At 55.8% G+C, this 18,558-nt stretch overlaps 1 protein-coding gene across 16 annotated transcripts in view, besides 4 other annotated features; it reads left to right on the top strand.

Moving 5' to 3' along the window:
• Positions 1-18,558, top strand: part of TNRC18 (trinucleotide repeat containing 18) — a 117,024-nt gene that overhangs the window by 96,788 nt on the left and 1,678 nt on the right. For 15 of the 16 annotated variants that reach the window (XM_017012737.3, XM_047420983.1, NM_001080495.3 and 12 more), the window contains 10 exons: positions 1,799-1,951; positions 2,692-2,833; positions 5,857-5,974; positions 6,440-6,515; positions 6,621-6,729; positions 10,975-11,091; positions 11,899-12,063; positions 13,184-14,544; positions 17,679-17,915; positions 18,098-18,172. In XM_017012737.3, the coding sequence (XP_016868226.1) occupies positions 1,799-1,951; positions 2,692-2,833; positions 5,857-5,974; positions 6,440-6,515; positions 6,621-6,729; positions 10,975-11,091; positions 11,899-12,063; positions 13,184-14,544; positions 17,679-17,915; positions 18,098-18,172 (2,553 nt within the window). The other variant, XM_017012739.3, reaches the window with a different exon arrangement.
• Positions 3,422-3,955: an enhancer, noted in NCBI's record as "H3K4me1 hESC enhancer chr7:5362723-5363256 (GRCh37/hg19 assembly coordinates)". NCBI's record gives its function as "activates a minimal SCP1, AML or CMV promoter by ChIP-STARR-seq in primed H9 embryonic stem cells {active_cell/tissue: H9 hESC(primed)}" and the evidence as "EXISTENCE:reporter gene assay evidence [ECO:0000049][PMID:30033119]".
• Positions 3,956-4,489: an enhancer, noted in NCBI's record as "H3K4me1 hESC enhancer chr7:5362189-5362722 (GRCh37/hg19 assembly coordinates)". NCBI's record gives its function as "activates a minimal SCP1, AML or CMV promoter by ChIP-STARR-seq in primed H9 embryonic stem cells {active_cell/tissue: H9 hESC(primed)}" and the evidence as "EXISTENCE:reporter gene assay evidence [ECO:0000049][PMID:30033119]".
• Positions 15,088-15,587: an enhancer, noted in NCBI's record as "H3K4me1 hESC enhancer chr7:5351091-5351590 (GRCh37/hg19 assembly coordinates)". NCBI's record gives its function as "activates a minimal SCP1, AML or CMV promoter by ChIP-STARR-seq in naive H9 embryonic stem cells {active_cell/tissue: H9 hESC(naive)}" and the evidence as "EXISTENCE:reporter gene assay evidence [ECO:0000049][PMID:30033119]".
• Positions 15,588-16,089: an enhancer, noted in NCBI's record as "H3K4me1 hESC enhancer chr7:5350589-5351090 (GRCh37/hg19 assembly coordinates)". NCBI's record gives its function as "activates a minimal SCP1, AML or CMV promoter by ChIP-STARR-seq in naive H9 embryonic stem cells {active_cell/tissue: H9 hESC(naive)}" and the evidence as "EXISTENCE:reporter gene assay evidence [ECO:0000049][PMID:30033119]".

Raw genomic sequence — 18,558 nt, 5'->3', positions numbered from 1 at the left:
GTTCAAGCGATTCTCCTGCCTCAGCCTCCCGAGTAGCTGGGACTACAGGCGTGTGCCACCATGCCCAGCTACTTTTTTATATTTTTAGTAGAGATGGGGTTTCACCGTGTTAGCCAGGATGGTCTCGATCTCCTGACCTCGTGATCCGCCCGCCTCGGCCTCCCAAAGTGCTGGGATTACAGGCAGGAGCCACTGCACCTGGCCTTTTTTTTTTTTTCCTTAATTTTATTTTATTTTTGAGACGGAGTTTTGCTCTTTTTTGCCCAGGCTGGAGTGTGGTGGCGCGATCTCGGCTCACTGCAACCTCCGCCTACCGGGTGCAAGTGATGATTCTGCCTCAGCCACCCGAGTAGCTGAGATTACAGGCACCCGCCACCATGCCCAGCTAATGGCCATTTGTTTTAGACGTGTCCCTTTTAGAAAGTGTAGATTTTTTAGCTGGGCATGGCGGTACATGTCTGTAGTCCAAGCTACTTGGGAGGCTGAGGCAGGAGGATTGCTTGAGCCCAGGAGGTTGAGGCTATCAGTCAGCTGTCATTGTGCCATGGCACTCCAGCCTGGGCAACACAGCCAGACCCTGTCTCAAAAACAACAACAAAACAGAGAGTGAAAAAACGGAGGCAGCCTACAGGCCCTTCTCATCGCGGGGGTGGTTAAAGTAAGTGCATTAGGGTTTCTCCATACCTTGGCTCAATAGGCTGCTGTTAAAATGAAGCTCCTTTCATATGTATCAGTCATGTTGAGGGGAAACGTTGCAAAGCAGGACTGTTGGTAAATTCCCACTTTTTTTTTTTTAAAATACTGTGTGTGCATGGTTGTGTCTGCGTAGCCTTCATATTTACACGGTTGTGTGTGCTTGTGGAAAGTTCTAGAAGGATACACCATGCTGTTACTAGTAGCTGACTCTGTGGAGTTGGTAGGAGGGTCACTGGAGAGGAACTTGCAACATATATACACTTCAGTGGTGTCTTTTTTGGGCAGACGGGGCAACAAGTAATATATACTAGTAATAAGATAATACACGTTAAAAACAGCCTGTAATCCCAGCACTTTGGAAGGCCAAGGCGGGAGGATTGCTTGAGACCAGGAGTTTGAGACCAGCCTGGGCAACATAGCAAGACCCTGTCTCTAAAAAAATAAAAACTTAGCTGGGTGTGGTGGTGTGCACCTGTAGTCCAGCTACTCAGGAGGCTGAGGTAGGAGGATAACGTGAGCCCAGGAGGTCGAGGCTGCATTTAGTGGTGATGGTGCCACAGTCCTCTGGCCTGGGCAACAGAGCGAGACCTTGTCTCTAAAAAAAAAAAAAAAAAAAAAAAAAAAAATTGCAGGGCGCGTTTGCTCATGCCTGTAATCCCAGCACTTTGGGAGGCCGAGGCGGGCAGATCACAAGGTCAGGAGATCGAGACCATCCTCGCAAACACGGTAAAACCCCGTCTCTACTGAAAATACAAAAACATTAGCCAGGTGTGGTGGCGGGTGCCTGTAGTCCCAGCTACTCGGGAGGCTGAGGCAGGAGAATGGCGTGAACCCGGGAGGCAGAGCTTGCAGTGAGCCAAGATCGCGCCACTGCGCTCCAGCCTCGGTGACAGAGCGAGACTCCGTCTCAAAAAAAAAAAAACAAAAAAAAACCCAAAACCAAAAACGCTTGCAGGAAGAGAGAGAAGGGGTGTTTTGTTCCTCCTGGGAGGGCGCACTTGGGGTGGCACAGAACTTGGGGGTGAGTGAGTGAGGGGGACAGGGGTGCTGCCTGTGCTTTCCCTGCCGTTTGATGGCTCCTCTCTGCTGCTTCCTCCTCCAGAAGAAGAAAGGGAAAGAGGCTGGGCCAGGAGCTGGGCTGCCGCCGCCCCGAGCTCCTGCCTTGCCCTCTGAGGCCAGGGCTCCTCACGCCAGCTCCCTGACCGCTGCCAAAAGGAGCAAAGCCAAGGCCAAAGGGAAGGAGGTGAAGAAGGAGGTGAGGCTCACCGTGCCCTGGTTGGGGGCTGTGGGGGGCTCAGCCATGCTCCTGTGGTCAGGGCAGGGGGCTCCACCTGCTCCTCTGTATTCACCCTCCCTATAGCTGTGGCTCAGAGAGGTTGCGGGTGACGAGGGTGATGTGGCCGTCCCCACACTCCAGGGATAAGGAGATACTGGGGACTCTGCTCCTGTCCTCAGGAAATGTCTGCTCTAGCGGGGGCGAGGGACACTGGAACAGAGACCAGGAGACCTGGGTGACAGGCCCCCAGCCCAGCACCAGGTCCTCACAGGGCCCTCAGGCTTGGGTGAATCTGCCCGAGTGGCAGATGATGGCATGTCCACTCCCCACACCTGCTAGCCCCTGCCCGAGTGGTTTTTCCTCAAGCCCATTGGGTGGAAATGCTGGAGATGCTGCTGAAGTTTCTCTAAGAAGGGAACGGAGGCACCTGCCATAGTGATGGACTGAGGTATGGTAGTGAGTACTGAGTGCTGAGTGCTGATACTGAGCACAGAGTACTGAGTATTGAGCACCGAGTACTGAGCATGGGCCAGCTGGGTTTTGGGCCCATTTCACCTTCCCCCTGGCCTCTGGGGTGCCCCTAACTGGGATCCCTGCCATGCACATGACAGATTCCCCCTGCGGCCTGACTGTGGCTCCAGGTTTCCAGAGAGGGTCCCCAACCCGGCAGGACCCCTGTTCAGGTCCTAAGTCATTTGTCGGCCATGTTCTGTCCCCAGAACCGCGGCAAGGGGGGTGCCGTGAGCAAGCTGATGGAGAGCATGGCAGCCGAGGAGGACTTTGAACCCAACCAAGACTCGAGCTTCTCTGAGGACGAGCACCTGCCGCGTGGCGGGGCTGTGGAGCGGCCGCTGACCCCGGGTGAGTGGCCGTGATGCCACATGTGCCGGGCGGGGCTGCTGGAGCCTCCCTTGGGGGAGGCAGATCTGAGCAAGGCTTGAGACTGAAGGGCTGGGCTAGCTGGGGGCAGGGAACCACAGGAGCAGAGATCCTGAGGCTGAGTTATCCGGGTCGATGAGAAGGCTGGACTGGCTGCAGCTTAGTCAACTGCAGATGAGGCAAGAGAGCGGCCCTGGGACCAGGGAGGAGGCAGGTCCTGCGGGGCTTGGGAAGGAGTTCCGTGTTGGCCCTAAGGAAAATGCGAAGCTTTCTGAGGTTAGATGTGGGGATGTGATATGGTCAGATTGGCTTTAAAATGAGCTGTCTGGGCCGAGCGTGGTGGCCCATGCCTGTAATCCCAGCACTTTAGGAGACCGAGTTGGGCAGATCACCTGAGGTCAGGAGTTCCAGACCAGCCTGGCCAACATGGTGAAACCCTGATTCTACTGAAAATACAAAAATTAGCTGGGTGTGGTGGCGGGCGCCTGTAATCCCAGCTACCCGGGAGGCTGGGGCAGGAGAATCACTTGAAACCAGGAGGCGGAGGTTGCGGTGAGCCAAGATCATGCCATTGCATTGCACTCCAGCCTGGGCAAAGAGCAAAACTGTGTCTCAAAAAAAAAAAAACTGTCTGGTGCTGCACAGAGAACGAGTGGGGGCCCCAGGGAAGGCAGGGAGTCCAGTTAGGAGGCTGTGCTGTCCAGGCGAGAGTGGGTTGTAGCCTGGGGCTGCCATGGGGGCAGCAGGGAAGGAGGCGGGGCAGGGTGCACACATTAGGAGGGAGTGTGGATGGGAGGTGGGGTCGGGGGTGCAGGCAGAGGAGAGGGGAAGGGAAGGGTGAGGACAGGTGTGGGGGTGGGGGGAAGCCCTGTCCCTGAGACCCGGGTCAGGGAGAGTCATGTGCTGGGCTTTGATGACTCAATCGGGAAGTCACGCCCAGGCTGGGACCCAGGGGTCTGTAGCCCAGAGGCGAAATCGTGGGTATGGATGGGGGAGCGAGTGAGAAGGAGTCGGCCGCCCCAAGGCTGCATTGGTCACCTGCCGCTATGTGACAACCAGCCGCCGCCTGTGTGCGTCTCAGGGGCATGTAGGGCTGCTGGGTGGCCATGCAGACCCCCAGTGGCCTTGCTCCTGCGGTGATGGGCTGGCCAGGGGTCAGCTGCTCCAGGTCTGTGGTCCTCTCTGCGTGTGTTGTTTATCCTGCCAGACCCGTGGCTTAAGAGGAAAAGTTGGGCTTAAGAGCTCTCTCGAGGCCTAGGCTCAGCATTGGGCCCCGGCCACTTCTGAGAGCCACATGGCCAAGCCCAACGTCAGGGTGTGGGAAGTCGACTCTGCCAGTGACAAGGCCACAGGCAGGCACAGCAGGGATACGGCCGTCCCACCCATCCCTCTCCCAGCGAGCCATCTGGGTAATGAGAATGTCGGGGACAGACCAGGTGAAAGGTCCCACTGAGGAGGAAGGGCAGGCCCAAGTGTCTTGGCAGGGGCAGGGAGAGGGAGGGAGCAGAGGGTTGGGGCAATGAGAGGTGACCGCCGTCGGCAAGTTTGCCCCCGGGCATTCATTTCCGCCAGAAAGAAAAAGTGGATGGAAAGTCTCAGAGGTAGGTGGGGTGTGGTCACATGCACCTGTAATCCCAGTGCTTTGGGGGGCCGAGGTGGGAGGATCACTTGAGACCAGGAGTTCGAGATCAGTTGGGCAACATAGTGGACCCTGTCTCTACAAAAAATAATTAGCCAGGCATGGTGGTGTGCACCTATAGTCCCAGCTACTCAGGAGGCTAAGGTGGGAGGATGGCTTGAACCCAGGAGTTCCAGGCTGCAGTGAGCTATGATCTTGCCACTGCACTGTAGGCTGGATGACAAAGCAAGACCTTGTCTCTGACATCATGATGATGATGATGATGATGATGATTATTGAGACGGAATCTGACTCTCTGTCACCCGGGCTGGAGTGCAGTGGCGTGATCTCGGCTCACTGCAGCCTCTGCCTCCCAGGTTCAAGCAATTCTTTTGCCTCAGCCTCCCAAGTAGCTGGGACTACAGGCGTGCACTGCCACACCTGGGTAATATTTGTGTTTTTAGTAGAGACAGGGTTTCACCATGTTAGCTAGGATGGTCTTGATCTTCTGACCTTGTGATCTGCCCGCCTCAGCCTCCCAAAGTGCTGGGATTACAGGTGTGAGCCATCGCGCCTGGCTTGAAAAAATTATTAAAAAAAAGAAAGAGGCCGGGCACGGTGGCTCACACCGGTAATCCCAGTACTTGGGAGGCTGAGGAGGGTGGATCACCGGAGGTCAGGGGCTCGGGATCAGCCTGGCCAACATGGTGGAACCCCGTCTCTACTAAAAATACAAAAATTAGCCGGGCCTGGTGGCAGGCACCTGTAATTCCAGCTGCTTGGGAGGCTGAGGCAGGAGAATCGCTTGAACCTGGGAGGCAGAGGTTGCAGTGAGCCGAGATCATGCCATTGCACTCCAGCCTGGGCAACAAGATTGAAACTCCATCTCAAAAATAAATAAATAAATAAATAAATAAATAAATAAATAAATAAATAAAGTCCTAGAAGTTTGGCTGTGGGCAGCAGTAAGAGGGGGCGGACATCATGATGGAGGATCGTCGCTGTGAGTGTCCGGTGATGGCTGGCACCCAGAGCTTCATGCCAGGCCCAGAGGCTGCTGGTCTTGAGGTGGGAAGAGGCAGCAGGTGCAGGCTTTCATCTCTGGGTTCACACCCACCTGGGGTCTTTGCAGACATCTGGGGCCAGGCAGGGGAGGGGGCTAGGAGGAGAGGGGCTGGCCACGGCACCCTGTACATGCTCACTGGTACACACAGGTCTGCACGGGTACACACACAGGCAGACGAAGAAGTGCACACGTCTCAGCCCCACAGGCCCACCCGGTACCAGGGCCTCCATTCCAAGGGGATGACTTGGGGGTAACGGGAGGAGGGAGAGGTGTCGCAGACGCCCCCGGCTCCAGCCTCGCCTCACGATCCAACCCCTGCAGCCCCTCGCTCCTGCATCATCGACAAGGATGAGCTGAAGGACGGCCTGCGTGTGCTCATCCCCATGGATGACAAGCTGCTGTACGCCGGGCACGTGCAGACCGTGCACTCGCCAGACATGTGAGTGGGGTGGGAGGTCCGGCACAGAGCCCCGTGTCCCATACCCGCCCCGTGTCCCGGCCGCCTCTGTGCCTGGCTGCTTCTCCTTTCTGGGCTGTGGTTTCCCCCGATGGCACAGGGCAGGGGCATGAGTGGGCTCAGAGCTGACGGGGAGGCCCTGGGCACTTTGAGGGAGTACTGGGTGAACCCTCCCAGGGGCTGGGCGCGGCTGCTCCGCAGCGGGAAGGGGTGAGAGAGCGTGCTGGCCTCTCTCAGGATCTGGACTGTGCCTTGCAACCCCTAGTCCTACAGATGAGGAAAATGAACCCAGAAAAGGGGGAGAATTCCCAAATTCAGCAAGTCAGCAAACCTCTGAGTCCTGGTGTTACCTCCCAGTGGTCTAGGAGGCAGTGCTGTGCTGGTGGGATTGAGGCCCTCTGGGGAGGTCTCGGCCTCTGCCACCTCACGCCTCGTTTGCTCCTACAGATACCGCGTGGTGGTGGAGGGTGAGCGGGGCAACCGGCCCCACATCTACTGTCTGGAGCAGTTGCTGCAGGAGGCGGTGAGGGGGGAGGGGCGGGGCCTCGGGAGGCTCGGGGTGGGCTGGGTGTCCAAGGCCATGGCCATAACTGTGTCCACACCTTGCACTCATCCCATGCCCTTCTAGATCATCGATGTGAGGCCAGCCTCCACTCGCTTCTTGCCACAAGGGACCAGGATTGCAGCCTACTGGAGCCAGCAGTACCGCTGTCTCTACCCAGGCACTGTGGTCCGAGGTGAGATGCCTCCTCCCCAGCTCTCCCCTGCCGCCTAACATCTCAGTATGGACTTGTTTGGCTACTAAAACCCAACTCTAACTGGCTTAAGAATAAAGACTTGTGGGCTCACATAACTGAAAACTGTATGGCCTTCAGGCATGATTGGATCCAGGCACCATTTAAACGATGTCATCAGGACTCCAGCTCTGAGTATCTGTCAGCAGTGCTGTCATCTGTGCTGGCTTCACACTAGCTCCTTGGAGATTGTATTTTACCATCTTAAGAACTCTTATCATTGGAGGATTTCTCAGTCTCGGTTTTCCCACACAAGTTCTAGTGTGAACTGACTTGGGCCACATGGTTTTCATTGATCCTACTGCCGTGAGTCTGATCGACCGGGCCTGGGTCAGATTCTCATCCCTGGGGCTAAGGAGTGAGGTCACCTCCCTTTTATTCGTGGGCTGAGAAAGATGGGAGGGTGGCTTCCCCTGCAAAGTGGACATGTTGTTAGAATAAGAGAGAATGAGGCTGGATGTGGTGGCTCATGCCTGTAATCCCAGCACTTTGGGAGGCCGAGGTGGGTGGAATCACTTGAGGTCAGGAGTTCAAGACCAGCTTGGCCAACGTGGTAAAACCCCGTCTCTACTAAAAATACAAAAATTAGCCGGGCGTGGTGGCAGGTGCCTGTAATCCCAGCTACTTGGGAGGCTGAGGCAGGAGAATCACTCAAACCTGGGAAGTGGAGGTTGCAGTGAGCCAGGATTGCACCACTGCACTCTAGCCTGGGTGACAGAGTGAGACTACGTCTCAAAAAAAGAAAAAAGAATGGAGGCTGGATGGAGAAAAACAACAGGTACCCTAGGAAATGTAGGTGTGGATATCAGACAGGCAAGAAAGACAGTCAAATGGTCCAACCCTTAGCTTTTGCAAAAGCAGTGTATCCTAGAGAGGGGGTATGGATGTGGATTAGACAAACCCCGCCCGTGCAAAAAAAAAGCCCACTCACATGCCAAATACAGTCCACTGCTTGGCCTACCATCCATTCATACCCAGAAGATGGAAGCCAATGCCAGCTCAGCAAAACAACAGATGAGTGGTCCAGCCTGAGTAGAGGATCTCAGGCCAGGAAGACTTAGTTTTTTCCATCATATTAGTCACTCATTTATCATCCAAATTCTGAAAGTGCTGTTAATAAGGCAGAAGTTGGCCTTAGATTCGGATTTCCTAGCACATGCTGTCCCCCTGTACTGGGAGGTGCTGGCTGTGTTCTAGGCCTGCCTCATGGGTATCATTCTGGATTCTTGGGCCTTCCCTGTCCCTCATCCTGGGAACCGCTTTTGTTGCGTTGCATGTTTTTCTCTTTTTTGGTTCAGTTCCTTGTTTTAAGCAGTGGATCTTTCAGTAGCTTTCTGAGGAAGAGTCTGTGGGAGTTAAATTTCTCACATCCTTGTATGTTTGTAATCGCTTCATTCTACCCTGATTTTTTAGAGATAGCTGAGCTGGGTACCCTTATTCTTTAGAGATAGTTGAGCTGGGTATAAATTCACGACTGGAAATAGTTCCCCTCACCATTTCAAAGACATTTTTCTATTTTTATCTTGCTTCCCATGTTGAAGACATTCAACATTGTGATTCCAAAATCATTGTAGGAGACCTGCTTTTTTATCTCTGGAAACTTTTAGGATCTTCTCATTATCCCTAGATCTGGAATTCCGTGTGTGTGTGTGTGTGTTCTCATCATGCTGGGTATCTGCAGAGGGAGGCTTTGATTTTGAAGCAAATTTCCTTCATTCTTGGAAGCTCTACTTGTAGCACAACTTGGATAACTTCTCTTGTGAATTTCATGTTTTCCCTGGAACTTGGGCTAGTTCCATGGCCCCTGGTGTGTGTGTCTTTTTTTCTGTTAATATTTGCTTATTTTGTTCAACTTATGGAGAGATTTTCTCTACTTTTATCTTCTAACCCCTTCTGTTTTCTTGAATTTTAAAATTTTCTGCTGTCATTTAAAAAAATTGTCCACCAGCTGCGGTGGCTCACGTCTGTAGTCCCAGCAATTTGGGAGCCTGATGCGGGTAGATCACTTGAACCCAGGAGTTCAAAACCAGCCTGGGCAACATAGCAAGACCCTGTCTCTACAAAAAGATACAAAAATTAGCCAGGCTTGGGCCAGGCGTGGTGGCTCACACCTGTAATCTCAACACTTTGGGAGGCCAAGGTGGGCAGATCACCTGAGGTCAGGAGTTTGAGACCAGCCTGGGCAGCATGGTGAAACCCCGTCTCTATTAAAAATACAAAAATAAGCTGGGCGTGGTGGCGGGTGCCTGTAATCCCAGCTACTCGGGAGGCTGAGGCAGGAAAGAATCACCTGAACCCGGGAAGTAGAGGTTGCAGTGAGCCGAGATCACACCGCTGCACTCTAGCCTGGGTAACATAGTGAGACTCTGTCTCAAAAAAAAAAAATTATTATCCAGGTTTGGTGGTGTGCACCTGTTGTCCTAGCTACTTGGGAGACCGAAGTGGGAGGATCACCTGAGCCTGGGTGGTCGAGGCTGCAGTGAGCTATGATTGCGCCATTGCATTCCAGCCTGGGTGACAGAATGACACCATCTCAAAAAAAAAAAAAACCTTAAGAGTTCTTTCTTATTCTCTGAATATTCCTTAAATTTTTTTTTGTTTTATCAACACATTTCTTTTTAAACTTTCTCAGAGGATTGTTTTTCATTTTAACTTTCTGTATTTTTTTTTGAGACAGAGTCTTGCTCTGTCACCCAGGCCAGAGTGCGGTGCAGTGATTTCAGCTTACTGCAGCCTCCACCTCCCAGGTTCAAGTGATTCTCCTGCCTCAGCTTCTGGAGTAGCTGGGATTACAGGCATGCACCACCATGCCCGGCTAATTTTTTGTATTTTTAGTAGAGATAGGATTTCACCATGTTGGCCTGACTGGCCTCGAACTCGTGACCTCAGGTGATCTGCTTCTCTCAGCCTCCCAAAGTGCTGGGATTACAGGCGTGAGCCACTGCGCCAGGCCTCATTTTAGCTTTCTGCAGCTCCCTCTCTCTTCCCGGTCCCCCCTCCTTCTGCTTGCTGGTGCTGTGCCCTTCCTCTGGTTAGAACTCCTTAGGCGTCTGGGGACCCTGAATGAAGGGAACCTTATCAAGCCGATGGGAGCTCTGTGCACTCATGAGTGTTTGTCATAGCGGGTGGGCAGGAAGGTTTTGTTAGGGGGCTGCCCAGATTCTGCAAGACTCACATCCTTGGGGATATAGTACCAGCATCTGGCGTTTGGGAAGAGGGCTGGGCTATCACCCTTTGGGGGGCCTGTCCAACCTCCTCCCTGCGCTCAGTGTCTTTCAGTCTGGAGCCTCTCTCTAGGGTGAAGCTCCCAGCTCCTGCCAGCTGGGCCACCCTCAGCCTGTTCAGTGTTGAGGTCTCCCTCAGCCCTGCCTCTGGAGGTGCTTGGGGCCTCTCCAGCACGAGCCTTGGCAGGATTCTCTTAGGAAAACCACCTCCTCCTCGTGGGTATCACCTCCTCCTAGGAGATCAAAGCCCGTTCCTGCACGTTCATCCCGGCATCTCTCCGGAAATGCCACGGTCTCCCACTGCCGCCCTCCCCTTTCCCATTCTTTGTGTCCTTCAGGGTTGACACCTGCGTCCCTCCTTTGCTGTGGTTGCAGGAGGGTCTTGTGCATGAGCGGGCGCAGGTGCATGTGCTCAGCTGTCTTGTGTCACCCAAAGTCAGCTAGAAATGGGAGACCCAGGCCAGAGACAGTGGCTCACGCCTGTAATCCCAGCACTTTGGGAGGCTGAGGTGGGCGGATCACCTGAGGTCGGGAGTTCGAGACCAGCCTGACCAACATGGAGAAACCCCATCTCTACTGAAAATACAGAATTAGCCAGGCATGGTGGCGCATGTCTGTAATCCCAGCTACTTGGGAGGCCGAGGCAGGAGAATCACTTGAACCCGGGAGGCGGAGGTTGCGGCGAGCCAAGATCATGCCATTGCACTCCAGCCTGGGCATCGACAGCGAAACTCTGTCTCAAAAAAAAAAAAAAAAAAAAAAGACCCATTTCTCCTGCCCTGCCCGGGTGGCCTGGCTCTAACACCCACATTCTGAGCCGCTGTATACCCTCCACCCATGTCCCCACTGCTGTACCATAGAGACCAGGGCTGCACAGGGGCCGGTTTCTGCCATCCTGACCCTTGTGCGTCACTAGGGAGCTGGAGGTCCGAGGGCCTCCCCTGAGCCTCCCCTCTTCCCACAGGGTTACTGGACCTGGAGGACGATGGGGACTTGATCACCGTGGAGTTTGACGACGGAGACACGGGCAGGATCCCCCTCTCACATATCCGCCTCCTGCCCCCTGACTATAAGATACAGTGTAAGTGACAAGCTCATGACACCCGGTCTCCTGCCAGGGGCCGCCCACCCAGGCTCTCGCCCTCCAAGCCCGGCTCTGAGCTCTGTCTGAAGTCATTTGGAGCCACAGGTGATGGAAGCAGCAGAAGCCATGGGTGGGCTCCCGTGAGATCTCAGGGCTCCTAGGTCCTGGGTCCATGAGGACAGCACAAGCCCAGTGGCCCAGGCCATGGGAAGCTGATCAAAAATTGTTAATGGCTGGGTGCGGTGGCTCACGCCTGTAATCCTAGCACTTTGGGAGGCCAAGATGGGCGGATCACGAGGTCAAGAGATCGAGACCATCCCAGCCAATATGGTGAAACCCTGTCTCTATTAAAAATACAAAAATTAGCCGGGCGTGGTGACATGCGCCTGTAGTCCCAGCTGCTCAGGAGGCTGAGGCAGGAGAATCCCTTGAACCTGAGAGGCAGAGGTTGCAGTGAGCTGAGATCCTGCCACTGCACTCCATCCTGGCGACAGAGCGAGACTCTGTTTTAAAAAAAAAAAAAAAAAAAAAAAAAACCCAACAAAAGTCAGCATCTTTATCCACCTGTCCCGGTTCCACAAAGTGCTTTGTTTTACTTCATTATTCGGGAGCCTCTGGCTGCTCCCTGCAGACGGGGTTTCCCCTGCTGGACCTCACAGCCTGTCATGGGAGCCCATCCGGGGTCAGCCACCTGGTGTCGGTTGCTTCCGCCCCCATCCCTGATCCCCGGGACAGACCAGGGTCTTGGAAGCTCCAAGCTGGGGACCCCAGGCCTGATGAGCCACTCTGTCCTCTGCCCCACAGGTGCTGAGCCGTCCCCGGCCCTTCTGGTGCCAAGTGCCAAGCGCCGCAGCCGGAAGACCAGCAAAGACACTGGGGAGGGCAAAGATGGTGGCACGGCTGGGTCGGAGGAGCCAGGAGCCAAGGCCCGTGGGCGTGGGCGGAAACCCAGCGCCAAGGCCAAGGGTGGTAGGTTGGCCTGGTCCCCAGGGCAGGGCGGTGGGCGGATCTCCTTCGTGCATCCAAACTCAGGGCTTGGGAACCTGCCGAAGTGCCTGCCTGCTGTCTGTAAGAACTCTGAGCCGGGTGCAGTGCCTCACACCTGTAATCCCAGCGCTTTGGGAGGCCAAGGCGAGCAGATCGGCTGATGTCAGGAGTTCAAGACCAGTCTGGCCAATGTGGTGAAACTCCGTCTCTACTAAAAATACAAAAATTAGCTGGGCATGGTGGTGAGTGCCTGTAATCCCAACTACGTGGGAGGCTGAGGCAGGAGAATCACTTCAACCTGGGAGCTGGAGGTTGCAGTGAGCCAAGATCGCACCATTACACTCCAGCCTGGGCGACAAGAGCGAAATTCCATCTCAAAAAAAAAAAAAAAAAAAAAAAAAAGAAGAGAACTCTGCACCTGCACTGCAGGGCCGTTCTGACCAGGTGACAGATGAGGAAACTGAGGCTGAGGGAGGCAGGTTGGTTTGTCAGAGGCACAGCTGAGCTGCAGCTGGCCTGTGTTTCTTTCCAGAATCCAGAGAAAATACTTCGTGCAGGCTGAAAGCAGAGGAGGACCCGCTTTGGGGCCAACACAACTTAAGGTTGTTATAGGGGAACCGCCGAAGGAGGCCTAAGAAGGCTGCAGCCAGGTTCTGCTCAAGAAGTAGCAGGGCCAGGATTGAAACCAGGCCTTTCTGCTGGGCGCAGTGGTCCACGCCTATTCTCAGCACTCTAGGAGGCCCAGGCACAGGGATCGCTTGAGCCCAGGAGTTTAAGACCAGCCTGGGCAACGGAGCAAAACTGTATCTCTACAAAAAAAAAAATAATAATACAAAAAATTCCCCAGGCATAGTGGCGCATGCTTGTGGCCTCAGGTTACTTGGGAGACTGAGGCTGGAGGCTCACATGAGCCCAGGCAGGTTAGGGCTGCAATGAGCCCTGATGACGCCACTGCATTCCAGCTTGGGTGACTGAGACCCCATCTCAAAAAAAAAACAAAAACAAAAACAAAACTCACAGAAGCAGGCCTTTCTGATAAAAGCCACAGCTCATCTCTGCCAGGAAGCCCCCGCCCCAGCTTCTCATCTGTTTTGTTTTGCAGACAGAGCCGCTACCCTGGAGGAGGGGAACCCAACAGACGAGGTCCCCAGTACCCCCTTAGCCCTGGAGCCGAGCAGCACCCCAGGTTCCAAGAAGAGCCCCCCAGAGCCTGTGGACAAGCGAGCCAAGGCCCCCAAGGCGCGCCCGGCACCGCCGCAGCCCAGTCCCGCACCACCCGCCTTCACCAGCTGCCCAGCACCCGAGCCATTTGCAGAGCTGCCAGCTCCTGCCACCTCCCTGGCCCCAGCACCCCTCATCACCATGCCTGCCACACGCCCCAAGCCCAAGAAGGCGCGGGCAGCCGAGGAGTCGGGTGCCAAGGGCCCTCGGAGGCCGGGGGAGGAGGCCGAGCTGCTTGTCAAACTGGACCACGAGGGTGTCACGTCACCCAAAAGCAAGAAGGCTAAAGAGGCCCTGCTGCTCCGGGAGGATCCGGGGGCGGGGGGCTGGCAGGAGCCCAAGAGCCTCCTGAGCCTGGGCAGCTATCCCCCCGCGGCCGGCAGCAGCGAGCCCAAGGCACCCTGGCCCAAGGCCACCGACGGGGACCTCGCCCAGGAGCCCGGGCCGGGGCTCACGTTCGAGGACTCTGGGAACCCCAAGAGCCCAGACAAGGCCCAGGCTGAGCAGGACGGGGCCGAAGAGTCCGAGAGCAGCAGCAGCAGCAGTAGTGGCAGCAGTAGCAGCAGCAGCAGCAGCAGCAGCAGCGGCTCGGAGACAGAAGGGGAGGAGGAAGGCGACAAGAACGGGGACGGGGGCTGCGGCACCGGGGGCCGTAACTGCAGCGCTGCCAGCTCCAGGGCGGCCTCACCGGCCTCCTCCTCCTCCTCCTCATCCTCCTCCTCCTCCTCCTCCTCCTCCTCATCCTCCTCTTCCTCCTCCTCCTCTTCCTCCTCCTCCTCTTCCTCTTCGTCTTCCTCCTCTTCCTCCTCCTCCTCTTCCTCGTCCTCATCCTCCTCCTCCTCCTCCTCTTCCTCCTCTTCTTCCTCCACCACAGACGAGGACTCTTCCTGCAGCTCGGACGATGAGGCAGCCCCCGCCCCCACGGCTGGCCCTTCCGCGCAGGCGGCGCTCCCCACCAAGGCCACCAAGCAGGCCGGCAAGGCGCGGCCCTCGGCCCACTCCCCAGGCAAGAAGACGCCCGCGCCCCAGCCCCAGGCGCCTCCTCCGCAGCCCACACAGCCTCTGCAGCCCAAGGCTCAGGCCGGGGCCAAGAGCCGACCCAAGAAGAGAGAGGGCGTCCACCTCCCCACCACCAAGGAGCTGGCCAAGCGGCAGCGCCTGCCGTCCGTGGAGAACCGGCCCAAGATCGCCGCCTTCCTGCCAGCCCGGCAGCTCTGGAAGTGGTTCGGCAAGCCCACCCAGGTGAGCAAGCTCGCGCCCGGGCACGGCCGAGGGGCCGGGGGCCTTGTGTCTCTCTGCTGGGCCCACGGCTTCATGCTGTGTCTCCGTGTGTGGTAACCTCCCAGAACCCCAGGGTGGAGGGCTGGCGTCCCACTTTATGGATGGGTACACTGAGTCTCAGAGTGTCCTCAGGCACCTGGGTCTGTCGGACTCCGATGCCCGAGTCCTTCAGAGCAGAGTGGTCCTGCCCTCTGGTCCCGGGACGCAGAGCCACCCTCGTGGAGCCCAGATGAAGGAAACGTGCAAAGATCAGCACAGACCCACAGGCGTCGGCGCCACGTGGAAGGGGCTTTCCAGGCCTCTGGGATTTTTTCCTTTTTCTTTTTTTGAGACTGAGTCTCTCTCTGTTGCCCAGGCTGGAGTGTGGTGGTGTGATCTTGGCTTACTGCACCCTCTGCCTCCCGGGTTCAAGCAATTCTCCTGCGTCAGCCTCCCAAGTAGCTGGGATTACAGGCGCACGCCACCACGCCTGGCTAATTTTTGTATTTTCAGTAGAGATGGGGGTTTCCCCATGTGGGTCAGGATGATCTCAAACTCTCCTGGCCTCAAGTGATCTGCCTGCCTCGGACTCCCAAAGTGCTGGGATTACAGGTGTGAGCCACCACGCCTGGCTTTTTCTTTTCTTTCTTTCTTTTTTTTTTTTTAAGAGACAGGATCTTGCTCCGTCACCCAGGCTGGAGTGCAGCGGTGCCATCGTGGCTCACTGCAGCTTTGAACTTCTGGGCCCAAGCAGTTTTCCCGCCTCAGCCTCCTGAGTAGCTGGGATTACAGACATGTGCCACCATGCTACCCAGCTGATTTTTAAATATTTTTGTAGAGACAGTGTCTCACTGTGTTGCTTGGGCTGGTCTTGAACCCCTGGGCTCAAGTGATCCTCCCGCCTCAGCCTCCCAGAGTGCTGGAATTCCAGGTGCGGGGCCTGACAGCCTGTTGTGTGTGGCATTTGAGTGTTCCCAGCCACGCCCCGGGCTCCTGGCCACTAGTGTGGCAGTCCCAGCAGAAGGTACCTCCTTCCCAGGTTTGCTAGCAAAAGTCCAGATTGAAGCTCCTTGGCCTGGCCAGGATCATGTGCCCACCCCTGAGTGAATCAATATGGCCTGGAAGACAAAGTCCTGGCTGGCCAGGTCGGGGTCCCGTGTGCCCTGCCTGCAGCAGTGGGTTAGCTGTTCAGAAGGAGCCCTTCCAGCCTGCCTGTGGCTGTCTACACACACGCACACACACTTGCACACAGTGCACTCAAAAGCATGGGCACATGCACACACACACGCACATATGTGTGCACATGTACACATGAATGCACATACAGCCACACACAAAAGCAAGTATACACACATGCAGATGTACATGTGAATGCAGGCACGTACATGAACCATGTAAACATGAACATGCACACATATGCAAATACACTACACCCACACAAATGCACACTTGCACACGTACACAAACGTAGGCACATACATGCGTGCACGTGCATCCATGCACGTGCATGCACACGAGTACACGTGCACACACACAAACACGTGCACACACGAACACGTGCACACACATGAACACGTGCACAAATGCACAGATGAACATGTGCACACACAGGCACATATACATGGCAGGACCCAGTGTGAGAAGTGGTGGTTCAGACAGGCTGGCAGGGAGCCCCCAACGTGCTGTAGGTGTGGGGCAGGAGCACCTGCATGTTCCAGAAGGGGTCAGTGGTGTCTCAGGCAGCATTTCCAAAGCTGCTCTAGAATGGAGTTTCAAGTCTCTCTTGCCCAGGTGCAGTGGCTTAAGTCTGTAATCCCAGCACTTTGGGAGGCCCAGGCGGGAGGATCACTTAAGCTTGGGAGGTCAAGGCTGCAGTGAGCTGTGATTGTGCCACTACACTCCAACCTGGGCAATAGTGTGAGACCTTGTCTTGAAAAAAATAATAGTTTTAGCCGGGCGCAGTGGCTCACACCTGTAATCCCAGCACTCTGGGAGGCCCAGGCAGGAGGATCACTTGAGGTCAGGAGTTCGAGACCACCCTGCCAACATGGTGAAACCCCGTCTCTACTAAAAATACACACACAAAAATTAGCCAGGCGTGGTGGTGCACGCCTGTAATCCCATCTACTTGGGAGGCTGAGGCAGGAGAACTGCTTGAACCTGGGAGGCAGAGGCTACAGTGAGCCAAGATCGTGCCACTGCACTCCAGCCTGGGCGATAGAGTGAGACTTCATCTCAAAAAGAATAATAATAATAATAACTATTTTTTAAAAGATAAAAAAGGCCAGGTGTGGTAGCTCACGCCTGTAATCCCAGCTCTTTGGGTGGCTTATGTGGGAGGATCACTTGAGGCCAAAAGTTCAAGACCATCTTGGGCAACATAGTGAGACCCCCATCTCTACAAAAATAAAAATATTAGCCGTGGATTCCTGTAATCCCATCAACTCAGGCGGCCGAGGGAGGAGGATGGCTTGAGCCCAGGAGATCGAGGCTGCAGTGAGCTATGATATTACCACTGCAGTCCTGCCTGGGTGACAGAGCAAGACCCTTTCTCTGAAAAAAGTAATTTTCAAAAGAAAAATAAGGCCAGGTGCAGTGGCTGACACTGCGATCCTAGTGCTTTGGGAGGCAAAGGTGGGAGGGTGGTTTGAGGCCAAAAGTCTGAGACCATCCTGGGCAACATAGTGAGACCTTGTTCTCTACAAAAATAATCAAAATTAGCCGGGCGTGGTGTGCGCCTGTATTCTCAGCTCCTCAGAGGCTGAGGTGGGAGAGGATTTCTTGAGTCTAGGAGTTCGTGGCTGCAGTGAGTCATGATGGCGCCACTGCGCTCCAGCCTGGGCAACAGAGGGAGACCCTGTCTCAAAAATAAGAAGTCTTGTAGCGGCAGAATGCTTAGATCAAGGGAAGCGCCTCTTGGAGACCCAGCATGTCAAAGAGATGGAAGAGGGGCTTCCCCACTTGAAGCGAGACAAGGAGCTTCCTCATCTCCCCACAGTTGGATAGGGGTTGATTTAGAGGCCGAGGGCCCAGAGTCCCAAGCGGCAGAGCCTGCCAGGCGGCGGGCTCCTTGGGGCTGGGCCAGGGCCTGTGCCGTGACACACGTGTCCTTGCAGCGGCGTGGCATGAAGGGCAAGGCCCGCAAGCTCTTCTACAAGGCCATCGTGCGCGGCAAGGAGATGATCCGTATCGGGGACTGTGCCGTGTTCCTCTCTGCCGGCCGCCCCAACCTGCCCTACATCGGCCGCATCCAGAGCATGTGGGAGTCGTGGGGCAACAACATGGTGGTCCGCGTCAAGTGGTTCTACCACCCCGAGGAGACCAGCCCGGGCAAGCAGTTCCACCAGGGCCAGGTGAGCCTGCGGCCCGGCTGCGGCCCCCAGTCCTAGGCGGTGTAGGGCAGACCTGAGGGCGAGGCGTTCTGGGTGCTGGAGCATCAGCAGCCCTGCCCAGTGGGTCAGCCCTGTCCTGGGGCCTGGGGTCGGGTGCAGCAGCCCCCGGGCTCACCCAAGCCCCTCCTCTCTCCCCCACACAGCACTGGGACCAGAAGTCCAGCCGCAGCCTCCCGGCGGCCCTGCGGGTCTCCAGCCAGAGGAAGGACTTCATGGAGGTAGGTGGTGGTGGTGGTGGTGGTGGGCGGGTTGGGGATGGCTGCTTCCTTCCGGGCAGCTCAGACAGGGCCCGGCTCAGCATCTGCTGCTCTGTCCCCCATGGTCTCCCTCAGCCTCTGACCTCCTGTCCCTGCCACTCTCAGTGCCTGGCTCCTGTTCTCTGTCTCTCTGGTCTGTGCGTCTGTCTCTGGGTCTTCTCTGCTCTCCCAGTGTCTGTCTCTGAGTCTCTGGCCATTCTTGCCCTCTGACTCTCTCTGGGTCTCTCCCAACCTCTATCTTTCAGTCTCTGTGTCTCTCTGGGTCTCTCTCGATCTCGGTCTCTGTCTCTCTGCGTCTTTGGATCTCTTGGTCTGTCTATCCTTGTCTCTCATTTGCTCTCCATCTC

Source organism: Homo sapiens, chromosome 7 (assembly GCF_000001405.40).
Source record: "Homo sapiens chromosome 7, GRCh38.p14 Primary Assembly".
Lineage (NCBI taxonomy): Eukaryota > Metazoa > Chordata > Mammalia > Primates > Hominidae > Homo > Homo sapiens.
Note: the sequence above shows the minus strand (reverse complement) of the source record. Positions and strands in the feature narration are given on the sequence as shown.